The sequence below is a fragment of the Homo sapiens genome, chromosome 15, assembly GCF_000001405.40.
Source record: "Homo sapiens chromosome 15, GRCh38.p14 Primary Assembly".
NCBI classification, from domain to species: Eukaryota; Metazoa; Chordata; class Mammalia; order Primates; family Hominidae; genus Homo; species Homo sapiens.
Window position 1 is genome coordinate 24065577 of NC_000015.10, and position 22917 is coordinate 24088493.

Genomic DNA, 22917 nt, shown 5'->3' on the forward strand with positions numbered 1-22917 from the left:
ATAACTCAAAAATTTTATAAACGCAAAAACCTCTACCCTATTAAGAGGGAGACTTAGCTTTCCAATTTGTCTCTTTTCTTTCTCTTCTTTTTCCTACAGTTTATTCAAAAGGAAAATGAAAATCTTTCATTATCTTTTAATATTAAAAAATTCTTGTTCCACAGAGAAAGCCAAATCTCACCTTTGCATTAGTGTATTAGTAATGTTAAAGTCAATTATTAATAAAACCTTGTAGACAAATTTATTCAATTTTAATCAGTTTGACCATAAGGTAAGAAGTCTTTTATAATCCTTTACAATTTTTTTGCCAAAGAGAAGGTTGATGCTCCAAGGAAACTCTCTTGTTCTTTTATTCCAATGTTCAATTTATGGAAAAACTGAATAATACCCCTTTAACTTTCCCCAATATGTTTACACACAGAACCTATTTTATAATTAGTTGTTCACAAACCTTCCACAACTTGTTCAAACCGTCAGAGTTTTCCTATTTTACTTAAAACAATCCTTTAGCCCTCTGTAGTTAGGCAAGAAATCTACATTCCCATGCCTTCTTATAATCTTTTACCAAAAGGACATTCTACACACAGTTGTGTGTAAAGCTGTTTCTTCAGTAGTTTCAATTGCATCATTAACTCTTAGCAACTTTTACTTTTGGTGAAAAACCTGGGTATTAAGCAATTTTACTTATGTACCAGGTGTGGAGCCTAGGAAACCAGAGTGCAGATAGGTCTGACTCTTTCCAGCATAGCTAGGGTCATGGCTAACTCCACATGACCCCAGGCCTTAACTAGCCATAAAGTAGTTAAGTTGTGCAGTTGAGAGTCACACTGGCATTTTATGAAGCATTTATGAGGCCTGGTAACCTTTAAATTGTACATTTCTTTCATAAATTCTGTTTCACAAATTCTTCCATGAAATACACAAACCATCTACAACTTGTTTGTACCTTTTGACTTGTCCTAAATATCCCTCTATTTAAACAACCAGTATTTTACTTTAGGACAAGAATTTACCATACAGGATCCTTTCTTATATAAAATTTCTTTTCTTTAAAACTGTCTTTACCAAAAATACCTTTTTACCTTTATAACTTTTGAATTAGACAAAAGTCATTTTCCTCCCATTAGAAAGTTAAGATTTGTACTGCCTATTACTGTGTGTGTCCTGTGAAGGGGGAGCAGATAAAGAGGCTATCTGCATACTGTAGAAGTTATCCCCTCTCAAGAGATTGCTCAGTTATATTTTTGCCAGGGCTTGTCTGAATAAGTGTGGGCTACTTCTGGACCCCTGATGTAGCACTGTTTAGGTTATAGATTTGGTTAATGATTTAGGTGGAGACAAATAGGCTATTAGAAAGAGGAGTTCAGAGGTTGGATAAATATTAAATTAGTACAGATCTTAGAAAGTATATTTTTTCCCAAAGAGTTGTTGGGTATTTAGACATTACCAGGGACTGGTGGGAGAATGGTAATTGGTCCCTTAAGTAATATAAAGAGGTGTGAAACTTTTCTTTTGGAGGGAGGGGATGCCATTTGCCTTGTTCTCCTTAGCCCTGTCCTCCTTATTCTCCTCTTAGTTATAAAAGACTGAAGAGGCTAATCTGAGGACCTCTGCACAGGGTCATTGGGTTCCAATGCTGACTTTTATAATTTTCCTCTTAGTTCATTTTTAAGCCAGCTGAAGGTTTGGGGAAATTAAACTATTCCCAGGTTTGGGGGATGCATCCAAGAAGCATGTCCTGTCGTATAGAGATGTGATAACCCATCTGTGAAGAGATAGCAGAGGAGAAAGAGGAAAAAGAAGATCCCTTTCTTTCTATTATCATGAATGGGGCATCCCCCATGGTCCTGGGTTCCAGAATGAACCAGTCTTACTGTGTACCAATGGTCCCATCTCAACACAATTACCCACTTGAAAACAGAGGAGATGCTGGAGTGAACAGTAGTGGGCCCCTGTTAATCTTTGGGGTTCCGGAATGAACTGGTCTTTAACATGTACCACCTGAGCCTCTCATCTCTGTTCCAGTGGTAATCTGTTGGCCTGTGACCACCCTTTGTCTCTGTCCTATGGGTCTCTTGCATCTGTGGCCTCTGGCTGACCTTGTCTCCATGACCTTATAGCAACTCTCACTCAGAGTATTTTAACAATAAAATGAGTAACTCTTTTCTCAGAAGCGTGTTTTTCAGCTGCCACAGAGACTTGAGTTTCCTCCCTGCTCCCTTAGAATATGTCTTTAAAGGTCTTGATGCATGTTGAGAAGGGCATGGAAGTAATTAGAGAAATGAAGCCTAGAGGAGGAAGTGGAAGGAAGTGAGAGGAAAAAGAACCATCTGACTCCTACATCTGGAAAGCCTTCACATGCTCACGTAAATAACAGTCCTTGGATTCAAGACAGCAATGTTTATTCACACTCTGGACATAAAGCAGTATGCTCCAGAAGACTTAGGGCTTCGGGTAAGAACTCACAAGCAGCAAAGGGAGAATTTTTTCTCCTCCCAAAATAGTAGTGCTATCTCAAAAAAGCAAGCGGGTGGGATTCTTAAAGGGCCAGAATGAAGCCCTATGCAGGCAAACTGCTTTTAAAAGCCATCAGAAACTTGGCCCCGTGGTGGCATACGGGAATTGAAAAGCACGTGGTAAGTTATAAGATGCCAGCAGAGCCAGAGTTCCAATTAGAGTCTGTCCTGGCCATGTGCCAGCATGCAGGGGAAGGATTGAAGGTCACCTGAGCTGGTTAAAACAAATATAAACCTCAGGGGATATCCACCAGGGAGCCTGTGTCTTTGCTGCCATACAATGTAGAGAGCCGCAGGGTGTGAATAACAGGGAGTGTGTGTTTAGAAGTCCCGTGGCATGCAAAGTAAAAACAAAGAGGCAGACTTGCTCCTAAGGCAGAAGGTCCAGGGTGTGCGCTAGCCCATTGCAGAACACACAGAGAAAACCAGAAAATGGGTGGTGCAGGTTTTTGGAAAAGAGCCGATTGTAGTTTAATAAAGGCAAAGGAAACCCCAGACGTTGCGTGATTTTTAGGCCTTAGCCTCACCAATCTCATGAGCCTCCTGTTTAGGATGGCCATTAGTGCTTCCGATCTGCTGGGTGTGGACCCTAAGGTCCTTCACACCCCCACAAGCCACTGGTCTGGGTAAGCTGAGAAATCAGCCTGGGGGAGCAGAGTCAACTATGGCCAAGAGGAATTGCTCTGCGTGTTGGTTTGTAAGCAGGAGAGAGAGAGGGAAAGGGAAGAAAAAAAACCATGCTCTGGGTCAGATGCCTCCAGCCAAAGAAGGTGAGGCACAGAGCTCTCTTAACACTAGGGAATGATCTGAGTGAGTCACAAGGCACCAAATACATTAGGGGTAGGTCTCCAAGTTACCAGTGGTGAATCCATGTGGGTCTACAGCAACCTCAATTCTTGCCTCCTCAGAATAAAGAATTCAACTGAGAGGTATAGGGCAGAAAAAGAGACAGAGGCAAGTTTCAGAGCAGGAGTGGAAGTTTTTTTTTTTTTTTTGGAAAACTTTAAAAACCTTTAGAGCAGGAAAGAAAGGAAAGTACACTTGGAAGAGACAAAGTGGGCAACTTGAAGGACAAGTACAGTGTCTTACCTTGATCATAGGACTTTATATGCTGGCCCACCTTCGGCGTCTTGCTCCCCTTTCCCATGATTCTTCCATTAGGGTGGGCTGTGGACCTGTACAGTGCCCTCCTCATGCTTGGGAAGTGAACATGCGGCAGTATGTTTAGGAAGTGTTTTTATCCATTTGGAAAGTTGTTTCTCCCCGGCACCTGCGTTCAATTAACACTTTAGTGTGACAGCTCTGGGCAATCAGGAGATTGTCTGTCCCTGGCACTGGCTGCCAAATTATCATTTTTAGAGAGGCAATGTGATAACTGCTAAGCAATCATCTGATGATCGCCTGCTATTCCTTGTGAGTTGGGGGAGACAGCCCTCTTCTACCCTGCTCATGCCTTCCTAACTACCTATAACAATTTGGCATTTTCCACCTTCATATCTCTCACAACATCACTTTGGAAACCAATGTGGCAAAGATGTAGGCTGCTAAGTATGTCTATTCCAACTATGCATTGGGGAACTCGGAAATTAACAGAGGATGGGTTTCGGGACCAAATGGACACACTGTGACTAGGACATGAGCTAAAACATCATTGACCACCTGACCTCCATTAGCGCCAATTCTATCTGGAAGGGAACATTGATGTTTCAGGTCACCTGGAATCAATGTCCATTCACAGCAAGTGTCCAGACATCCCTAAATGATGTGATTATTTCCTTTTTGTCAGTAAACAATTGCCTTAATAAAAAGTGGTAAGTCTTTTTAGGAAAGTGTGGGAGGAAGATTAATGTATAGTTTTGGTAGTGTACCTCTGTCTTTATTGGAGGATCTCTGCCTCCCCTTCAAGGAAAGCTTCTGAGACTGTAAATTGGCTCAAGTCTAGGAATTGACTGTGGGTCTATAATTCTTTTTTTTTCTTTTTTATCATTTGAGTTAGAGTTGTGTTCATGGACACGAACATGTGTTTTGCTTAGAGAGATCAAATAAGGATTTAGTCAGCTTCTTACCTGTTTCACTTCTAGGAAAACTGTGGATAACTGGTTAAGTCCATAGATCTGTAGGAGTCAGATGGTTCTTATTGTTGCTTTGCCTTTGCTCTCCATTACCATAACAATGCCCCCTTGCTTTTGATAGTTGAGGACCACTGCTTGGTTCCTGCCACCCCTGGATCCACTTATTCTCATTGCATTTAAACTTTTCATTGGACTGATTTTGGTTCTCAGTGTAAGATCTGTCCTACAGAGAAAAGCATCCACAGAGCTCTTCAGGGATGCTGGGGATCCCATCACGAATCTATTTCTCACAGTATTGGTAAATGATAGGTCTTCTGGACCCTTCCAATGTGAATGAATAGGTTTTAATAACAAATTCACTCTAACATTAATCTGTCTCTAAGCCTTTGCATACCTTCCTCTGTGGTAAACCAAGATAGATGGCACAACTTGCTCATGGTCGGCCATTTTTTTATCCTTACTTCAGCTGATCAGCTAAAAAAACTATTAGAACCTTTCGTGACTCCCCAAACGGGAACATTAATGGGCCATGTTAATTAATTCAACTTGATCCAACGCTATTTTCCTTCCACTATCCCACAACCTTGCTGCCATTTAAGATCCATTTCCACAGACTTTCTGAAGGTTTTAGTTGATACATATTTTTTTAAAAAAAATTCAAGTAGGTTTTTTTTTAAATGTAGTGCACATCCTCATAAGTAACAATTTGTACCTCATATTTAAGATCCCACTGAAACTTGCACCTAGATATAGTTCTATTATAGAAACAGTGCTGTCAGTGGTCAGTCCTAATGAAAATCACCATTGTCTTGCTTGGCAACTGCCTCAGGTGAGTCCATTATCATTTCCATAGGTAAATAAATATTTAATCCTTTCAGACAGGGGATACAAGGCTTACATCATTGTACGTGGGAAAGCTGCTTCCACTGTGGGTAGGGTTAAAAAGTTCACTGCTGGTGGCAAACAAAATTCATTAGAATTTAGGAGTTCAATGTTCCCGCATCATCAGTGTCTTCCCAACTATCCTCTCCCCGTTTTACAGAATCCCATTATTTCCTAACCATTGCTCTCACTTAAACTTTAGACACCTTGCCAGACTGAGAGTTAAACTTTCTTTGTAATTTTGCCACTTTCATGATGAGAGCTTCTGTTTGACTTTTAGCAATTTCAGCCCCATTGACTAGAGAAGGGAAGAATCTGACTCAGAGCACAATTAAAAGCTATTAGGCTATTTATGCAGAGAAGATTCTGGAAATTTGAATATCTAGTCACTTCCTGTCATTTTATCTCTTTGCCAAGGCACATGAGAAGCAAACACACAATGACATTATCTTCCTTGGTTTTTCACAAATGCTCAAAGATCACCAAATTCCTTGCCTCTTACCTTACTTCAGCCAATCAGCTAAAGAAACTGATTAGGAGTGAGAAATGCAGATACTTTGCATGTCTCTATGAACAGTTCGTGCCATGGACTATCAGTGTTCTTTTTCTATTAGAAGTAGCATTGTGGCCAGGCGTGATGGCTCATGCCTGTAATCCCAGCACTTTGGGAGGCCAAGGCAGGTGGATCACCTGAGGTCAGGAGTTCAAGACCAGCCTGGCCAACATGGTGAAACCCTGTCTCTACAAAAATACAAACAGTAGCTGGGCATGATGGCAGGTTCCTGTAATCCCAGCTACTTGGGAGGCTGAGGCAGGAGAATGGCTTGAACCAGGGAGGCAGAGGTTGCAGTGAGCCAAGATCGTGCCATTGCACTCCAGCCTGGGTGACAGAGCAAGACTCTGTCTCAAAAAAAAAAAAAAAAAAAAAAGTAGCATTGTTAGAATTTTAGGTGTAATCAGATTGAGAGCCAATTCTAGAAACCCTCACACCAATTAGGGATGGTCATTTTAAAAATGTCGTTTCTCTAGAACCATTTTTATTACCAATATCTGTATTAGTTAATGTTCTCCAAACAGAAGCAATAGAATAGGTAGGTAGGTAGGTAGATACATAGAGATTTACTTTATGGTATTTGATCGCATAAATATGGAGGCTGAGATCTTTCACAAAAGGCTCTCTAGAAGCAGGAAATGCAGGGATGCTGATAGTGCACCTAAGTGCAAGACTGCAATCCTCAGAACCATGGAAGGGCTTGGTGTAATGATGGAATCAGGCCGAATGTCACTGGAAATTTTTTCAGTTGGATACTCTATTAATTTCCAATACCTGTGTCTGCAATTTTATGTGTGGTTGGTTGGTTGTTTTGTTGTTTAGCATTTTCTATTATTTTGGGACTACTGGGTGCACCAGGCTAATTGTGCTTATTCCCTATTTAAGCCTTGTATTAATCATTTGTTCACAAAGTTCTAGATTTTTTTAAGTTAGAGAATGGAATTAGTAATGGACCAGGTGCAGTGGCTTCCATCCGTAATCCCATCATTTTGGGAGGCCGAGGTGGGTGGATCCCTTGAGGCCAGGAGTTTGAGACCAGCCTGGTCAGCATGGCAAAAACCTGTCTCTACTAAAAATACAAAAATTAGCTGGGAGTGGTGGCACATCCCTTTAATCCCAGCTACTCTGGAGGCTGAGGCAGGAGAATTGCTTGAACCCGGAAGGCAGAAGTTGCAGTGAGCTGAAATCGTGCCACTGTACTCCAGCCTAGGCAACAGAGGCAGACTCTGTTTCAAAAAAAAAAAAGAAGGAGGAGGAAAGGAATGAAGATCCAGGCACTGGGTGTATACATTGTGACTTTGAAATCTATTGATTTGATGCTTTGTTAACAGAAAGTGCAAACAGATATATCTGTGCATTCTTTGTATACTGACACAATATATATCAACATGTGTCAATATGTATCCATATTAAATTAAACAGGAATTTTTACTAATGTTTCCTGCTACACAGGATCTTATTTAGTACCACATTAATCTATCTATTCTTTACCACTTACTTGTATATAGCCTACTGCTCTAATAATGAGCTAGTTGGTTCTGTTAATTTAATTATGCTGTTAGCAGTGGCACATTTATACAGGTCTGCAGCAACTTGGTTCTTGCCTCCTCAGAGGAAATAATTTGTCCTAGGGGCATGAAGCAGAGTGAGAGACAAAGGCAAGTTTTAGAACTGGATGAAAGTTTATTAAAAAGTTTTAGAGTAGGAGTGAAACGAAGTTAAGTACACTTGGAAGAGGGCCAAGTGGGTGATTTGAGAGATCCAAGTGCCTGGTTTGACCTTTTACTTGAGGTTTTATACATTAACAGGCTTCCAGGGTGTTGCATCTCTTCTCTTCTGATTCTTCCCATGGGGTGGGCTGTGCACATATGCAGTGGCCTGCCAGCACATGGGAGGGGCTGCGTGCGCAGTGTGTTTACTAAAGATGTGCACATGCTCACTTGAGGCATTTTTCCCTTACCAGTCAATGGTTCCTAGAGGAAGATCATACACCAAACACTGCCATTTTGCCTCTTAATGCACATGGTTGAGTCCACTTTCCCACATGCTGAGATCTTACGGGGAAACGGCTGATCACCAGCTTCAGGTGTTTTCTATCTATGGGGAGACTGCTCCCCCAGTGCCAGTTGCCACCAATTATTATTTAGAGAGACAGTTTAACAATCGCCTGACCATCATCTGATGGTTGCCTGACATTCCTGGTGGAGGGGGAACTCACTTCTGCACTGCTCATGTCTGCTAACTATCTACTCTAACAATACCACTTGAAAATACAGGTTGAGTATTATTTATTCAAAATGCTTGGGACCATAAATGTTTAAGATTTTTGATTTTTTGGGATTTTGGAATATTTTTATATACATGATGAGATATTTTATGGATGGGACACAAGTCCATACATGGATTCATTTATATTTTGTTTCATTAATATTTAAATATCTTTTAAAAGTCTAGTCAAATGAAGCAGTGGAAATGGAATAGGCATTTATATTTTAAATATGACTTATACACGTAGTCTCGGTAATTTTACACAATATTTTAATAACTGTGCATGAAACAAAGCTTACATATATTGAGCCATCAGAAAGCAGAGGTGTCACTATCTTAAGAGGCCTCCCATGCAGACAATCTTTGGTTGTTTAGCATCACCATGGTCCTTGACTCTGAATTTATGTTACTGATAAGCAATTATTTTCTTACACTTATTTATACATAAGTGCTTAACATTATAAAGAATGATATTCCTTTAATACAGTGAAATAGTTGCATGTTCAGGGTAACTAAGCAACAGAGTAGCATCCCTAGTATAAAGTCACATGCCCCCTAATGACATTTCAGACAAAGGTGGGCTGCAGATATGGTAGAGGTCTCATGAGAATATGATGGAGCTGAAAATTTTCTATCTTCTAGCTATGTACAAAGCATTACTCATGTGTTTGTTTATTGTGGTGTTGCGAAAATGAAGCCAGCCCAACTGTTCCATGGGACAAATATAATTTTTTTGAATAAACATAAATATTGACCCACACTGGTCTTAAAACTTGAAACTTTTATCTGTCTTATCTGAACTTCTTCTTCAGGAAACTGACCCTCAGGCAAGGAACTGAAACTGACCAGTTCACTGCATCTAGACAATGAGATGCTAGATTCCTCATTGTCATTACGGCTTCCTTACCCCTTCTAATGCCTGTTTTCTTGCTGGTGGCTACCTTCCTTCTGAACTACATAAACCCTCAATTTTAGTTGGTTGGAAGAGATGGATTTGAGGCTTATCTCCCATCTCTCTAGGTGATGTCACCTGAATATAAAGGCTTCTTCCCTGGCAAAATTTGTCTCAGTAATTAACTTTCTGTGTGGTGAGCAAAAGGACCTAGATTGAACCCCTGGTGTTTTGATAAGAAAAACAACCTTCTGTGCTGCCAGTTGTGTAAAAGTATAGCACATACAATTATGTACAGTACATAATACTTGATAATAGTAACAAACTATGTTACTGGTTTATGTTTTTACAATACTATATTATTTTAGAATGAACTCCTTCTACTAATTAAAAAAAAGTTAATTGTAAAACAAGCTCAGATAAGTAGTTCAGGAGGTAACCAGAAGAAGGTATTGTTGTAGAAGAGGACAGATCCATGGCTGTATTTTTCCACTGAAGACCTTCCAGTAAAGGAAGGTAGAAGATAGTGATATTGATGGTCCCTACCATATGTAGGCCTAAGCTATTCTGAGGTTTTAGCAAAATGTTGGAAATTTAAAATTAAGAGAATTTAAAGTAGAAAAAAACTCATCAAATATGAATATAAAGAAATTTTTTTACATCTGTACAATGTGTTATTACAAAACAGTCAAAATGTTAAAAAACCAAGTTTTAAAGTTAAACAGCTACACTAAGATACATTTTTATAACTGAATATAGGGAAATATTTTTATAATTTTATTTTAGTCTCAGTATACACTGTTTATGAAGTCTACATTCATGTACAGTAATATCCTAGCCTTCACATTCACTCACCACTTCCTCATTGACTCACCCAGTGAAACTTCCAGTCCTGCAAGCTCCGTTCATGATAAGTGCCCTAGACAGGTGACCAATTTTTTATCTTTTATACCACATTTTCACTGTATCTTTTCTGTGTTGAGGTGTGTTTAGAATAACAGGTACGATTGTGTTACAATTGTGTGCAGTATTTAGTATAATAATATGTTATACAGATTTGTAGCTTAAGGGCAATAGGCTATATACTCTCCAGGTTTCTATGTGTACACTAGGATGTTCACATATGATGAAGCCACCTAACCCATTTCTCAGAACTCTCATTCATTGAGCAATGCATGACTGTACCTTTACCATAAATAACAAATGATGGCATGTTTTCTGCCTCCTCCTGTGATGTTATGTTTTGATTTAAAGCTTACTATACATCATATTTTATTTTAATAGGTGAGAAGAAAAATCAAACAGTTGAGGAACCAGGAAGCACATCCCATATGGATGAGGAGGCATTCTGCTGAATGGCATTTTAAATGTTGAAATTTTGATTTTTGAATTAGGAATGCCCATGCATATGTACATATATAGTGAGTTTAGAATTGGTAATGTTCCCATGAGAAAGAATTTTGCCAATTAAAGTGCAGTGCTTATGTACAAAACCTTTAAGACTCAGCATCTCCATTTATTTCCTGTTTCATAGGTCAGTCCCTCATTCCCCACTCCATTCAATGAAGTTATGTCTTATAGTTATTATATAGTTGTATTTAATTTTTGCCTGCATTTCCTCCTGGGATACCCCTACCTACTGAATAAGGTTTTTAATTTGCATACTTTTATGCTCATTCTTAGTAATAATGTAAGTTAGAATTTGAAAATCAGTGTTATGTATCCGCACTTACAGTATCATACAGAATAATTTTACTGCCCAAAACAAATCCTCTGTACTTAAGATTTACTGGCATTTCCTCTCCTGATGCCATTGTAACCACTAAACTTTACTGCTTTACTATCTCTACATGTTTGCCTTTCCCAGAATATGATGTCAGATTTATCACAAGATAAATAGCCACATGAATATAAGTTGAAAAGACTTTAAAAAGTAATTACATATCAATATGACTTCTAAGTTTGTGAAGTATATCTCTTAGTTGTTTTGAAATGCTTTTTTTTCCCCCTGAGACAGAGTCTCACTCTGTCTTCCAGGCTGGAGTGCAATGACACAATCTTGGCTCATTGCAACTTCCACCTCCCGGGTTCAAGCGATTCTCCTGCCTCAGCCTCCTGAGTAGCTGGGATTACAGGTGCGATTTGCATTTTTTTATGAGAAAAAGCATTGAGCATCTTTTGATGTGCGTATTGTACATGACAATCACTTCTTTAGAGAAATAACTATTCAAATAGTTTACCTTTTTTGATTGGGATATGTGCCTTTTGATTTTTGAGTTGTTAAGATGCTTTTATATATTCTGCATAGGAGAAGCTTAATTAGCTACATGGCTTGCAATGATTTTCTTCAATATTTTGTGAGTCTTTTTACTTAATGGTATACTTTGAGTCACAAAACTGTTTAATTCAGAAAAATTTTAATGTATCTATTTTTTCTTCAGTTTCTGGTGCGTGTGCATTCATATCATAGAAACCATTGTTTAACCTGAAGCTGCATGTATTCCTATGTGACTTTCTATGGGTTAAGCCTATTTATTTCTTGTATTTAAGTTAATCATAATTTGAGTCATTAATATACATGTATGTGTGTCAGATTAAATAGTTCAACTCATAGAGATCCCCTTGACCCAACAACACTTGATCAAAAAGTTTCCATATTGCATTAAATTGACATTCTTATAAAATCATGAGATCATAAAGTTGTAATTTTTAGACATTCAGCTTTATTCCATTGATCTATATACCTATCCTTTTTTATTGTTACTTTATTCCTTTTTAAAATTTTTTTTAGCCATTTGTTTCCTACATATACCTATTTTTATACTAGTGCTGTGTCGGGAATTGGTGGGTTCTTGGTTTCGCTGACTTCAAGAATGAAGCAGCAGACCCTCACGGTGAGTGTTACAGCTCTTAAAGGCAGCGCGGCCAGAGTTGTTCATTCCTCCTGGTGGGTTCGTGGTCTCGTTGGCTTCAGGAGTGAAGCTGCAGACCTTTGTGGTAAGTCTTAACAGCTCATAAAGGCAGCGTGGACCCAGAGTGAGCAGCGGCAAGATTCATTGCGAAGAACAAAGCTTCCACACCATGCAAGCGGACCCAAGTGGGTTGCCATTGCTGCTTTGGGCAGCCTGCTTTTATTCCCTTGACTCCACCCACATCCTGCTGATTGGTCCATTTTACAGACAGCTGATTGGCCCATTTTACAGAGAGCTGATTGGCCCATTGTACAGAGAGCTGATTGGTCCGTTTTCACAGGGTGTTGATTGGTGCGTTTACAAACCTTGAGCCAGACACAGAGTGCTGATTGGTGCATTTACAATCCTTTAGGTAGACACAGAAGTTTTCCAAGTCCCCAATAGATTAACTAGACACAGAGCACTGACTGGTGCCTTTACAAACCTTGAGCTAGACACAGAGCTAATTGGTGCATTTACAATCTTTTAGGTAGACACAAGTTCTCCAAGTCCCCACTAGATTAGCTAGACACAGAGCACTGATTGGTGCATTTACAAACCTTTAGCTAGACACAGAGTGCCGATTGGTGCATTTACAACCCTTTAGCTAGACATAAAAGTTCTCTAAGTCCCCACCCAACTCAGGAGCCCAGCTGGCTTTGCCTAGTGGATCCCACGCCTGGGGCCAAGGGCGGAGCTGCCCGCCAGTCCTGCACTGCACGCTCACACTCCTCAGCCCTTGGGTGGTCGATGGGACCGGATGTCATGGAGCAGGAGCCTTCACCCATCAGGGAGGCTTGGCGGGAGCCCACCAGTTGCGGGGCTCGGGCATGACAGGCTGCGGGTCCCGAGCCCTGCCCCGTGGGGAGGCAGCTGAGGCCTGGCAAGAATCCGAGCTCGATGTGGGCAGGCTGGCAGTGCTGGGGGACCTGGCGCACCCTCTGCAGCTGCTGGCCCAGATGCTAAGCACCTCACTGCCCAGGGCAGTGCCGTCGGCACTAGCTTGCTGCTGGGAGCGCGGAGCCTGCTGAGCCCCCGCCCACCCAGAACTCGCACTGGCCCGCCAGCACCATGCACAGCCCAGGTTCCCGCCTGTGGTTCTCCCTCCACACCTCCCCGCAAGCAGAGGGAGCCGGCTCCAGTGTCGGCCAGCCCAGAGAGGGGCTCCCACAGTGCAGCAGCGGCCTGAAGGGCTCCTCAAGTGCAGCCAGAGTGGACGCAGAGCCCCAGGCAGCACCCAGAGCAAGCGAGGGCTGCTAGCACATTGTCACCTCTCAGTACTACAAATCTTGATCATTTTTTTTTTCTTTCTCTTAATATATTGCATGGCACTAACTTTTTTTGTGTATTTAACCAAATTTGCATTTTCAAATACCTATTTAAAATTTCTATTTTGCTTCTCAATGGATTTCATGAATCATAGTTTATATAACAACTTCTCCACATAGAAAATAGGAATTCCAAAACCCCAGCAGAAGCTCTCATGTGTTTAATAGCTGGGAAGACACAGAGGTGGTCAATTTCTGTGAAAATGTTTCTAGGCACGTTTTCTCAATAACAGGCCAGAATACACAGATGTGCCACCCTTACTTAACAATGAGAAATGGGCATTAACAGAAATGCTGTGTTCCATTCATCTGAGAGTGCACATTTTCACATTTCACATACAGATGCAGCATTTTAAATTTGATAGTGTCAGAACACTGTTGGCCAGAAGGCAGTTTTAATGTCACTGTCCTCGTGTACACATACATGAAACTGGTCTAAGAATCTTCCTTTGATATCTTTGGATAATATCATCACTGTTGTAATTCACAGAAGTGTTTGGAGAGAGAATCTCACAAAGAGTAGTTCAGGACTCTCACAAGAAATGCAGAATCACCATTGCTTCAGATTAGCACAGATGATGAATAATCAATCATGGGCTAGTGAAGTAAAAATTATTCTAAAGACTTGGATCTAAGTGGAAAAGACTTTAAAATCAATTACAATGTAAAATTTTTATGCAATTCAAAAATCACTTAAAATTTCTTTTTTTTTCTTTTTTCTTTTTCTTTCTTTTTTTTTTTTTTTTTGGCGGAGTCTCACTTTGCTGCCAGGCTGGAGTGGAGTGCAGTGGTGTGATCTTGGCTCACCACAATCTCTGTCCCCCAGGTTCAAGCAATTCTCCTGCCTCTGCCTCTCAAGTAGCTGGGATTACAGGTGTGCACCACCACACCCAGCTAATTTTTGTATTTTAGTAGAGACGGGGTTTCAGCATGTTGGCCAGGATGGTCTCATACTCCTGACTCATGATCCACCTGCCTCAGCCTCCCAAAGTGCTAGGATTATGGGTGTGAGCCGCCACGCCCGGTCCCTAAAATTTCTAATATATTATGTGAAATGTATTTGTTTCATCATTTGGTTGTGGTTTTATTCTTCCATTCTTATATATAAACAAGTGATACATGTTACAATTGATGCAGTAATACATCTCGCAATTTACTAGAAAAAGTTTTAATACTTGTTAGTGTACACTATATATTTTAAATACTGTTAGTTCATACAATCCAGCCAACACGAGGAAGTAGGTGCTATTACCATTTCCATAGTCCAATTTTGAATGTGATCCAAAAACTCTGAAGGAAAGAATTAGGAGAATCTCAGTTTGACACAATCTGTCTCCAGAGACTTAGCTCTCATGAACTGTATTCCAATGTGTTTTCTCTTATATGGTAAATACTTTCTAAGTTTAGTTTTAGGAATCTTACCCTGCTCCATGCTCATGAAAATATTTCCCTAAATTGTGTTGTATATATTGGATTAAATATTTTTTATTTTGGTCTATGATCCACTTGGAATATATTTTGCATTTAATGTGAGGTCACATTTCAGGTTTTAATTCCTCTTAAAGGATATTCAATTTTCTAGAACATTTTTGAAAAAAATATCTTTTCCAATTCACTGACTATTCTTGCACTGTAATACTATTTCCTGTTTTTGTCTGCAAATGCATTTAGGTTAAATTTCCTCTGTGGTCACATAATCATCACGTATAGAGAAAATTTTATTTTTGTGTTGTGCAATAAGACATTCTTTTTTTTTCAAATGCATTCGTAATTGTTCCTTTCTTCTTCTTCTTCCTCTTCTTCTTCTTCTTACTCTTCTTCTTCTTCCTCTTCCTCCTCCTCCTCCTCCTCCTCCTCCTCCTCTTCCTCCTCCTCTTCCCCTTCCTCTTCTCCTTCTCTTTTTTGAGATACGGTCTTACTCTATCACCCACATTGGAGTGCAGTGGCATGATCACAGCTCGCAGCAGTCTTGACCTCCCAGGTTCAAGCAATCTTCTTGCCTCTGCCACATGAGTGGCTGGCACTGCAGATGCATGCCACCATGCCTGGCTAATTTTTCACTTTTTTTGTAGAGACAGGATTTTGCCATGTTGCCTAGGCTGGTCTCAAACTCCTGAGCTCAAGTGATTTTCCTGCCTCAACCTCTCGGAGTACTGGGATTACCAACGTGAGCCACTGCAGCTAGCCCATAATTGTTTTTCAAATAACCATTTCAATTATTGTAATCTGTTCACACATTCTCTGCCCTAAATTGAATTCCAATATCACGTTTTGAATAAATGTCAGGTGTGATACATTCTGTTTTAGCATTTTTCAGAAAGATCTCCTGAAATATCTCTGTTTGAAAAGGAGAAAAACAGACTATTCTGGGAGCCATAGGGCTGCTTGTACTGGTTGCAGTCAGGTGCCTGAAGCTTTTCCAAGCAAGTGGTCAATGCTGTGAGTGACTTTGCAGTTATGGGGTCCTGGTGGTGGTACCACCTCCACAGCAGCACTAAGCATTATCCTAGTGAGGACTCTGTGCTGACCCTGCTTTTATAGCTTCACCAGGCATGCTCTTGTGGAGAGTCTTTGCAGCAGCTCCAACCTACATTCCCACTTAATATTGCTCTACTGGGGGCTCTCTTTGGGGGCTCTACCCCTGTGAGAAATCTCTGATTGGGACCCCAGGCTTTTGAAATTTTTTTTTAAATTTGTGGAGGCTACCAAGCCTCCAGAGCTCTTGTTTTCTGTAAGCCTACAGAATTACCACCTCATAAGCATTTCCAGGTAGTACAATTTGTATCTTCCAGAGCTGGGGCACAAGCCCCACTTGGGAGCCAAAGCAGGTGGAATTCAGAGAGCAGCACCCTAAAGTGGCACATGGCAATGCCACCACCTGTCCCCAGAAACAATCCTGTCCCCTTATGCTGCTGGGCCTCTGATGGGATGGACAGCCTAGAAGATTACTGAAATGCCTGTGGGGTTTTTCTTCCATTGTCTTGAGTATTGACACCTAGCTCCCTTTAAATCATGCCCGTCTCTGGAACACTGTGGCTCTGCCGCAACCTTGGACTATTCTCCTGGAAAGGCTTTTTCATTCTCACTTGGCCAGGCTTCAGATTTTTTCTTTGTGTTTTTCTTTTCTCTAGCAGTTTTACCTTAAGCAGTTAGGAGTAACCACGCTACAGCTTGAACACTTCGAAGCTTAGAAATTTCTCCCGTCAGGTTCCCTAGTTCATCACTCTGAAGATAGGCCTCTCACAAAGCCCTTGAGCATGGACACAGCCACATTACTTGCCCGTTGATTTTAAGAATGGCCTTAATTTCCAATGTCTAATTCCTCAGCTCCATCTGAAACTTAGTCAGAATGGCCTTAAATCTTCATATTTCTGTAAACAGTCTGTTCACAACAACTTCACCTGTCTCTAAGGACTCCCAAACTTTTCCCATTTTCTTGTTTTCTAACCCCTCACCAGAACCTAGGCTTTTTCCAGCCTGTTTTTCCAAATTCTTCAAACTTCTGCCCTATTAATACCTAGTTCCAAGACTAGTTTTACAGTTTCAGGTATGGTATTCATTATCAGCAAGATCACACTTCTCATCACTGATTTCTGTAGTAACCTTTGTTCTTTGCTTATAAAACAGAATACAGAATATTGGGTAATTTATTTTTAAAAATTATTTCTTTTGGTTATGGAGGCTGAGAGGTCCAAGGTTAAGGGGCAGTATCTGGCAATAGCCTGTTGTTGGTGGAGACTCTCCGAAGATTCCTGAGGCCACACAGGGTATCGGCTGGCTGGAGGTTTGGAATGCTAGTGCAGACCTCTCTTCCTCCGACAAAGTCACCACTTAACCTCACATAATAAACCATTAATCCTTTAACCCATTAATACTTTAGTAGATGTATCCACTTATAAGGGCAGAGCACTTATGATATGGTCACCTCTATGAGGCCCCAACTCTCAATGCTGCCACATTGGGGATTAAATTTAAAAATGAGTTCGGTTAAGGGAAAATGTTCCAACCACAGTAACTGTCACAAGATCCGCTGTTTCCCATATAATACTCTTCTACCCATGTTGTGGAGTATTAGTCCCATTTTAAACTGGTAGTCTAGATCAGTTACTCCTGACCACACTGCAACTGTGTTCTCAGTCTTTTGACTCAGAAATATAAGGAGCTTAATATGGCTGAGTGGCAGTCTTAACTTTTAGTTCAGTTGAATAATTGCTGTATCTCTTAGCAGCAGCATTCCTCTGTCTGTAAGACCTCTAGACCAGTATAGCTTAAAATCACAGGAACAGAAAGTAAAATTTTTGCTAGTGTTACGTTAGGAATAGTGAATGGTGCAACTCTAATTTTTAATCCTGTGATTTCTAAACCTGTAAATTATGGTTTGGGGATAAAATTTTCTATATAATACATTCTGATTTTTTAGCATATACAATCTTCAGATGAACCTTGACTCAAACCTGCATAGTGTTCTCACCTAGCAGGTACCATACCTGTGACTTCCAAAGGCATATTCCACCATTTTATCCAACCAGTTTCTCCAAGATTATGGTGTGCATGGAAAAACCAGTGAAATTTATGAGCATAAGATCATTGCAACAATTTTATGGTTGTGTAGTTCTTTGTTGAGAAGGAATGCTGTATGGAATACTATCATTGTATATAAGGCAGGCTTTAAGTCCATGGATGGGTTTTGGCAAAAGGTCTGCATGCAGAAAAGGAAAACACATAATCAGAATAAGGGTCTATTCAGTAGGAAGCAAACCCCAGCCCCTTCCATGATCAGAGTAGGTCAATATAACCAACCTACCACCGGGTTAATGGTCGACTATTCTGGGGAATTGTGCCTTATCAGGGACTCAATGTTGGTCTTTTGGTGGGAATCCATATGGAACACAAATGTCTTCACATTTTCTTTTGCCACTCAGAGAGGGCTATCCACATGATTCTATTGCAAATTACTTTGTCAGCATGTTTCAATCATGTATTTCCAAGTTTCTGACTGATCAAATCATTGTACGCAGCCCATGAATCAATATATAAGCACACTCACAATAATTTTTCCTTCCAAGCAAAGTGCACAGCTAGATATACTGACTGATTTATGTCGATAGAGAAGATTTATTTCCCCACTGTCCTTCAGGGATGTCCCAGAAAGGGCGATAGTGCTGCAGCTGTCTACTTTCAGGTGGTGTCTGGATATCCTGAAGAACCATCTGAACAGTCTTCTCTTACTCTGTCAACTGATTATAGGGAACTCTTCATGAGGCCATAAGTGCAGATTAGGAGAGAGAAGGCAATGTGGCAGGAGTGGAGATTGTAGGCAGTTGTATATTTCTTCATGTAACTTGTGTTTTCAGGACCTGTTCTGGACCAATCACATATGTACCATTTCCATTTGTTAGAGTGCTACCATGCACACTCAACTTTATGGCTAGGTGGGTCAGGAAACACTTCATTCATGATGGGCAGCTCAGGATACATGGAACTTGGTGGCTCAAAATCATGCATTTTATTTTATTACAACCCAGTGGTAGGACACAAACTGACCCTGAAAAAGAGGGTATTTATCTGTGGATAAGGGCAGTGCCTTGCTCCAAAATTTGAAGACCCTCTACTGTGATTTACCTGTGGGAGCCTAAGAAAGACTCCAAAGAACATCTCTATCTGCCACTGACACCTCAAGTACTGTTGGATCTGCTGGATTATATGGCCTAAGTGGAAAAGCTGCTTGCATGGCAGCCTGTACTGCTGAAGTCTTGTGTTCTGGGCCCCCTCAAACCTAGAAGCTTTTTGAGTTGTTTGGTAGATGGGCCAGAGTAACACACCCAAAGGACAAAATTGTTGCCTCCAAAATCCAAATAGGCCCGCTAGGCCTTGTGCCTTTTTCTTGGTTGTTGGTGAGACCAGATGCAACCAATTTTACTTTATTTTGGAAGGAATACCTCAAAATGTTCCACACCACTGGATATCTACAAATTTCACTAATGTAGAAGGCCTCTGAATTTCATTTAAATATATTGCCCACATAATATATTTCTGTGGGCTGAATATATATATTAACATAATATATATTCAGTTAAATATATTGCCCACATAATATATATTGCCCACAATATATATTAACAGAATTTCAGTTAAATATATTGCCCACATATTATGTCATAATATATTGTCTGACATAAAAATATTTTATGAGTATGCTAAGTGTAAATGCTACTTGACATTCACTTGGTCCAATCACCATTATCCCATCAATGAAATGGACCAATGTGATACCTGTGGAAGGGAAGTTAATGAAGTGTTCTGTTTGTGACATGGGATAGATGGTTAATATACTCCTCAGGTAGGACAGTTAAGGTTTAGTGCTGTCTGTGGCATCTGAAAACAAACTTCTTTTGAAACTTATGGACAGAGATAGAGATAAAGCATTCACTAGATCAGTAGCTACATACCAGTTCCAGGAAATGTGTTAATTTGCTGGAACAATGAAACAACATTTTGTATAACAACTTCAATTTTAGTTGATACTTGATTGAGCTTCTGGGAATATACTGTCATTATCTAGTATCCATTTATCTTCTGCATAGGCCAAATAGGAGAGTTGCATGGGAATGTGGTGAAAATAACCATTCTTGCATCTTCCAAGTCCGTGATGGTGGCACTAATGTCTTAAATTCCTCCAAAGATGCAGTTATGTTTTTGATTTAATATTTTCCTAGATAGAAGCATCTCTCTTGGATTGCATTTGTGCTTTCTCACCCTAATTGTTCTCATTGGTTAGGCTACCAATATGGGCATTCTTTCAGCTGTTATGTGTTTCTATTCCGATTATGCATCAGGAACTGGAAAATTATCAGAGAATGGCTTCAGGGACCCACCAGACCCACTGTGAGTCAGACATGAGCTAAAACTCCATTAATCACCTGACCTCTATAAGAAGGTACTCTAATTAGTGGGCTACAGGGTTACTGTGGGTCTCCTGGAATCAATGTCAAGTGCAGAGTCAGTGTCCAGTGATCCTCAAAATTTATTTTATTAAAGCACAGTTACTGAAGGATGATTTTCAGTGCCACTTAAAACCAGCTGGAGACTTCCATGGCTGGCGATGCCCCTGCTCAGGCCTCCCTCCACCTCGGACTCACTGCAGGAGGCACCCTGCCCTCTCACCCTTCCAGATGGCACCTAGCTTGCACTCTGCCCTGGATCCCACACTGGCTGTGAGATCCATGCTTAGCCTGCAGCTGGGCTGGGCCTGCCACAAACTGCTTCACCTTGGGCACTGGCATCTGGATGAGGGGAATGCAGTGGCACCCAAAAAACTCGGAGACATCAGTAACCCCAAAGTCCCAAAGTGGGTGTTATAGCATGCTACAGCTCGTTCAGTACCATTGCCTCACTCTGACTCATGACTCTAGAGCTGGCCCAGCCCTCCTGCAGCTTCCCATCATGTGCAGTGGTTGGTGGGTACCGGCAGAGTGTGGAGGGCCACAGTATTACAGCTTTTTTGTACTCGCATTTGTTTGGCAGTTCCTGAGTTCTCATGTCCAAGGAGAATGAGGTTACACTGACAGTCAAAGTGTCAGAAAGGCAGAGAAGAGTTTTATTGAGTGATGGAACAGCTCTCAGTAGAGAGAATACATTAGGCAGGTGGTCCTCCCCACCCAGAGGCAGGTAGTCCCCAAGTGTGGCTGAGTCCAGGGCTTTTATGGGCTCAGAATGGGGGAGTGCATGCTGATTGGTTTGTGAGAATGCATAAAATGGTAAAATAAGCGACCACTCAAAGGTGGGTGCAATGGTGCCAAAAAAAAAAGAAAATTAGGAAAGAGTAGGTATATGTAAAGTAGGTGAAGGGTGGGGACCAATCAGAGGAAAGTGTGCCAAACGAGGAGCTTCCCAATATGGTCTGTGGATTTATCTGAGTCTTGGAGCTTGGCTTTCAGGCTTTAAACAGTCTTTGGTTTGAAGGTGGGGTTTCATCGGGGAGCGGCCCATATCTGCCTAAGGATGTGTCTACCTCCTGCTGCTGTCATTACTCTAGTAAGTGATTGTAGGTTCCTTTTAGGAAGGATAGCAGAAATATAAACTATAACATTTTGGTAGTGTACTTGTGTCCTACTTCAAGAGGACTGGGCTGCTGCTCCTTTCAAGGGGTTCTGAGATTGTAAACTCGCTCAATTGTGAGAATTGAGTGAGGTTCTTTGAGTCTCTGGTTTTTAGGATTTGAGGTAGAATCTTGTTCATTTGATCTAAAGATTTTCTGCTTCTTCAAATCAAGTAAGCCTTTAGTAGGCTACCTGTGTACTTCAATTCCAAGAACACTATTATAAACTAGCCAGCAACATAAATCTATAGGAATCAGATGAACCTGATTGTTGCTTCGCCTTTGCTGTCCATTGACATAACTATGCCAACCTTGCCTTTGAAGATCGAATGTTGCTACTTGCTCCCAAGATTCCCTGAAACTCGGTTATTCCCCTTGCATTTTGATTTTCCAGTTGGTGTACTGTGGTTTCTGTATTAAGGTCTGGTCTACAGAGAAGAGAGATCAGGGAGCTCTTCAGTTGTACCCAGCCTCCCCACACAAATCTACCTAACAAAGTCCTGATAAACAGTATGTTTTCTGGAGTCTATCAATATGGGTAAGTTGCATTTATTTTTTTATTTATTTAGAAACAGAGTCTCACTTTTTTTGCCCAGGCTGGAGTACAGTGGCATGATTTCAGCTTACCGCAAACTCTGCCTCCTGGATTCAAACCATCCTCCGGCCTCAGCCTCCTGAGTAGCTGGGGCAACAGGTGTGTGCTACCATGTCTGGCTAATTTTTGTAGTTTTTTGTAGAGGTGGGGTTTCACCATGTTGGCAAGGCTGGTCTTTTTTTTTTTTTTTTTCCATTTGAATTTTAGAATGAGTTTTTCTTTTTTTTTCAATTTTTTTTATTATACTTTAAGTTTTAGGGTATATGTGCACAACGTGCAGGTTAGTTACATATGTATACATGTGCCATGTTGGCGTGCTGCACCCATTAACTCGTCACTTAACCCTAGGTGTGAAGGCTGGTCTTAAACTCCTGACCTCAAGTGATGGACCTGTCTTGGCTTCCAAAAGTGCTGGAATTACAGGCATGAGCCACCATGCCCTGCTGTAAGTTGCTTTTAAACGGCAGATCCATTCTAGCATTCCTATCTCCCTAGGCCTATGAATTCCTTCATCCAACATAATACAGGGAAGATGGGGGAATCACCGACTTGCTCATGGTCATACATCTGTTGAACTATACTTCAGCCAACCTGTCATAAAACTACTAATACCATCCTTAAATACCCAAGCTGCAACATTAAACCGGAATATCTGCTTAATGGCCCCATATCATTAAATTTGGACCGATTCAAGTTTATATTCCTTCTACTGTTATCAACGCTTTTTTTTTTTTCTTGTTTTGGTTTCTTACAGATGAGGTC

At 40.7% G+C, this 22917-nt stretch overlaps 1 long non-coding RNA gene across 1 annotated transcript in view; it reads left to right on the top strand.

The window, feature by feature from the left end:
- The window catches only part of PWRN4 (Prader-Willi region non-protein coding RNA 4), a 113008-nt gene extending 90430 nt beyond the window's left edge, over positions 1-22578 (top strand). The window contains exons 5-6 of the long non-coding RNA NR_126392.1: positions 22157-22254; positions 22504-22578. This is a non-coding gene — a long non-coding RNA (Prader-Willi region non-protein coding RNA 4). The remainder of the gene's footprint in view (positions 1-22156; positions 22255-22503) is intronic.
- Positions 22579-22917: the final 339 nt, after the last annotated feature.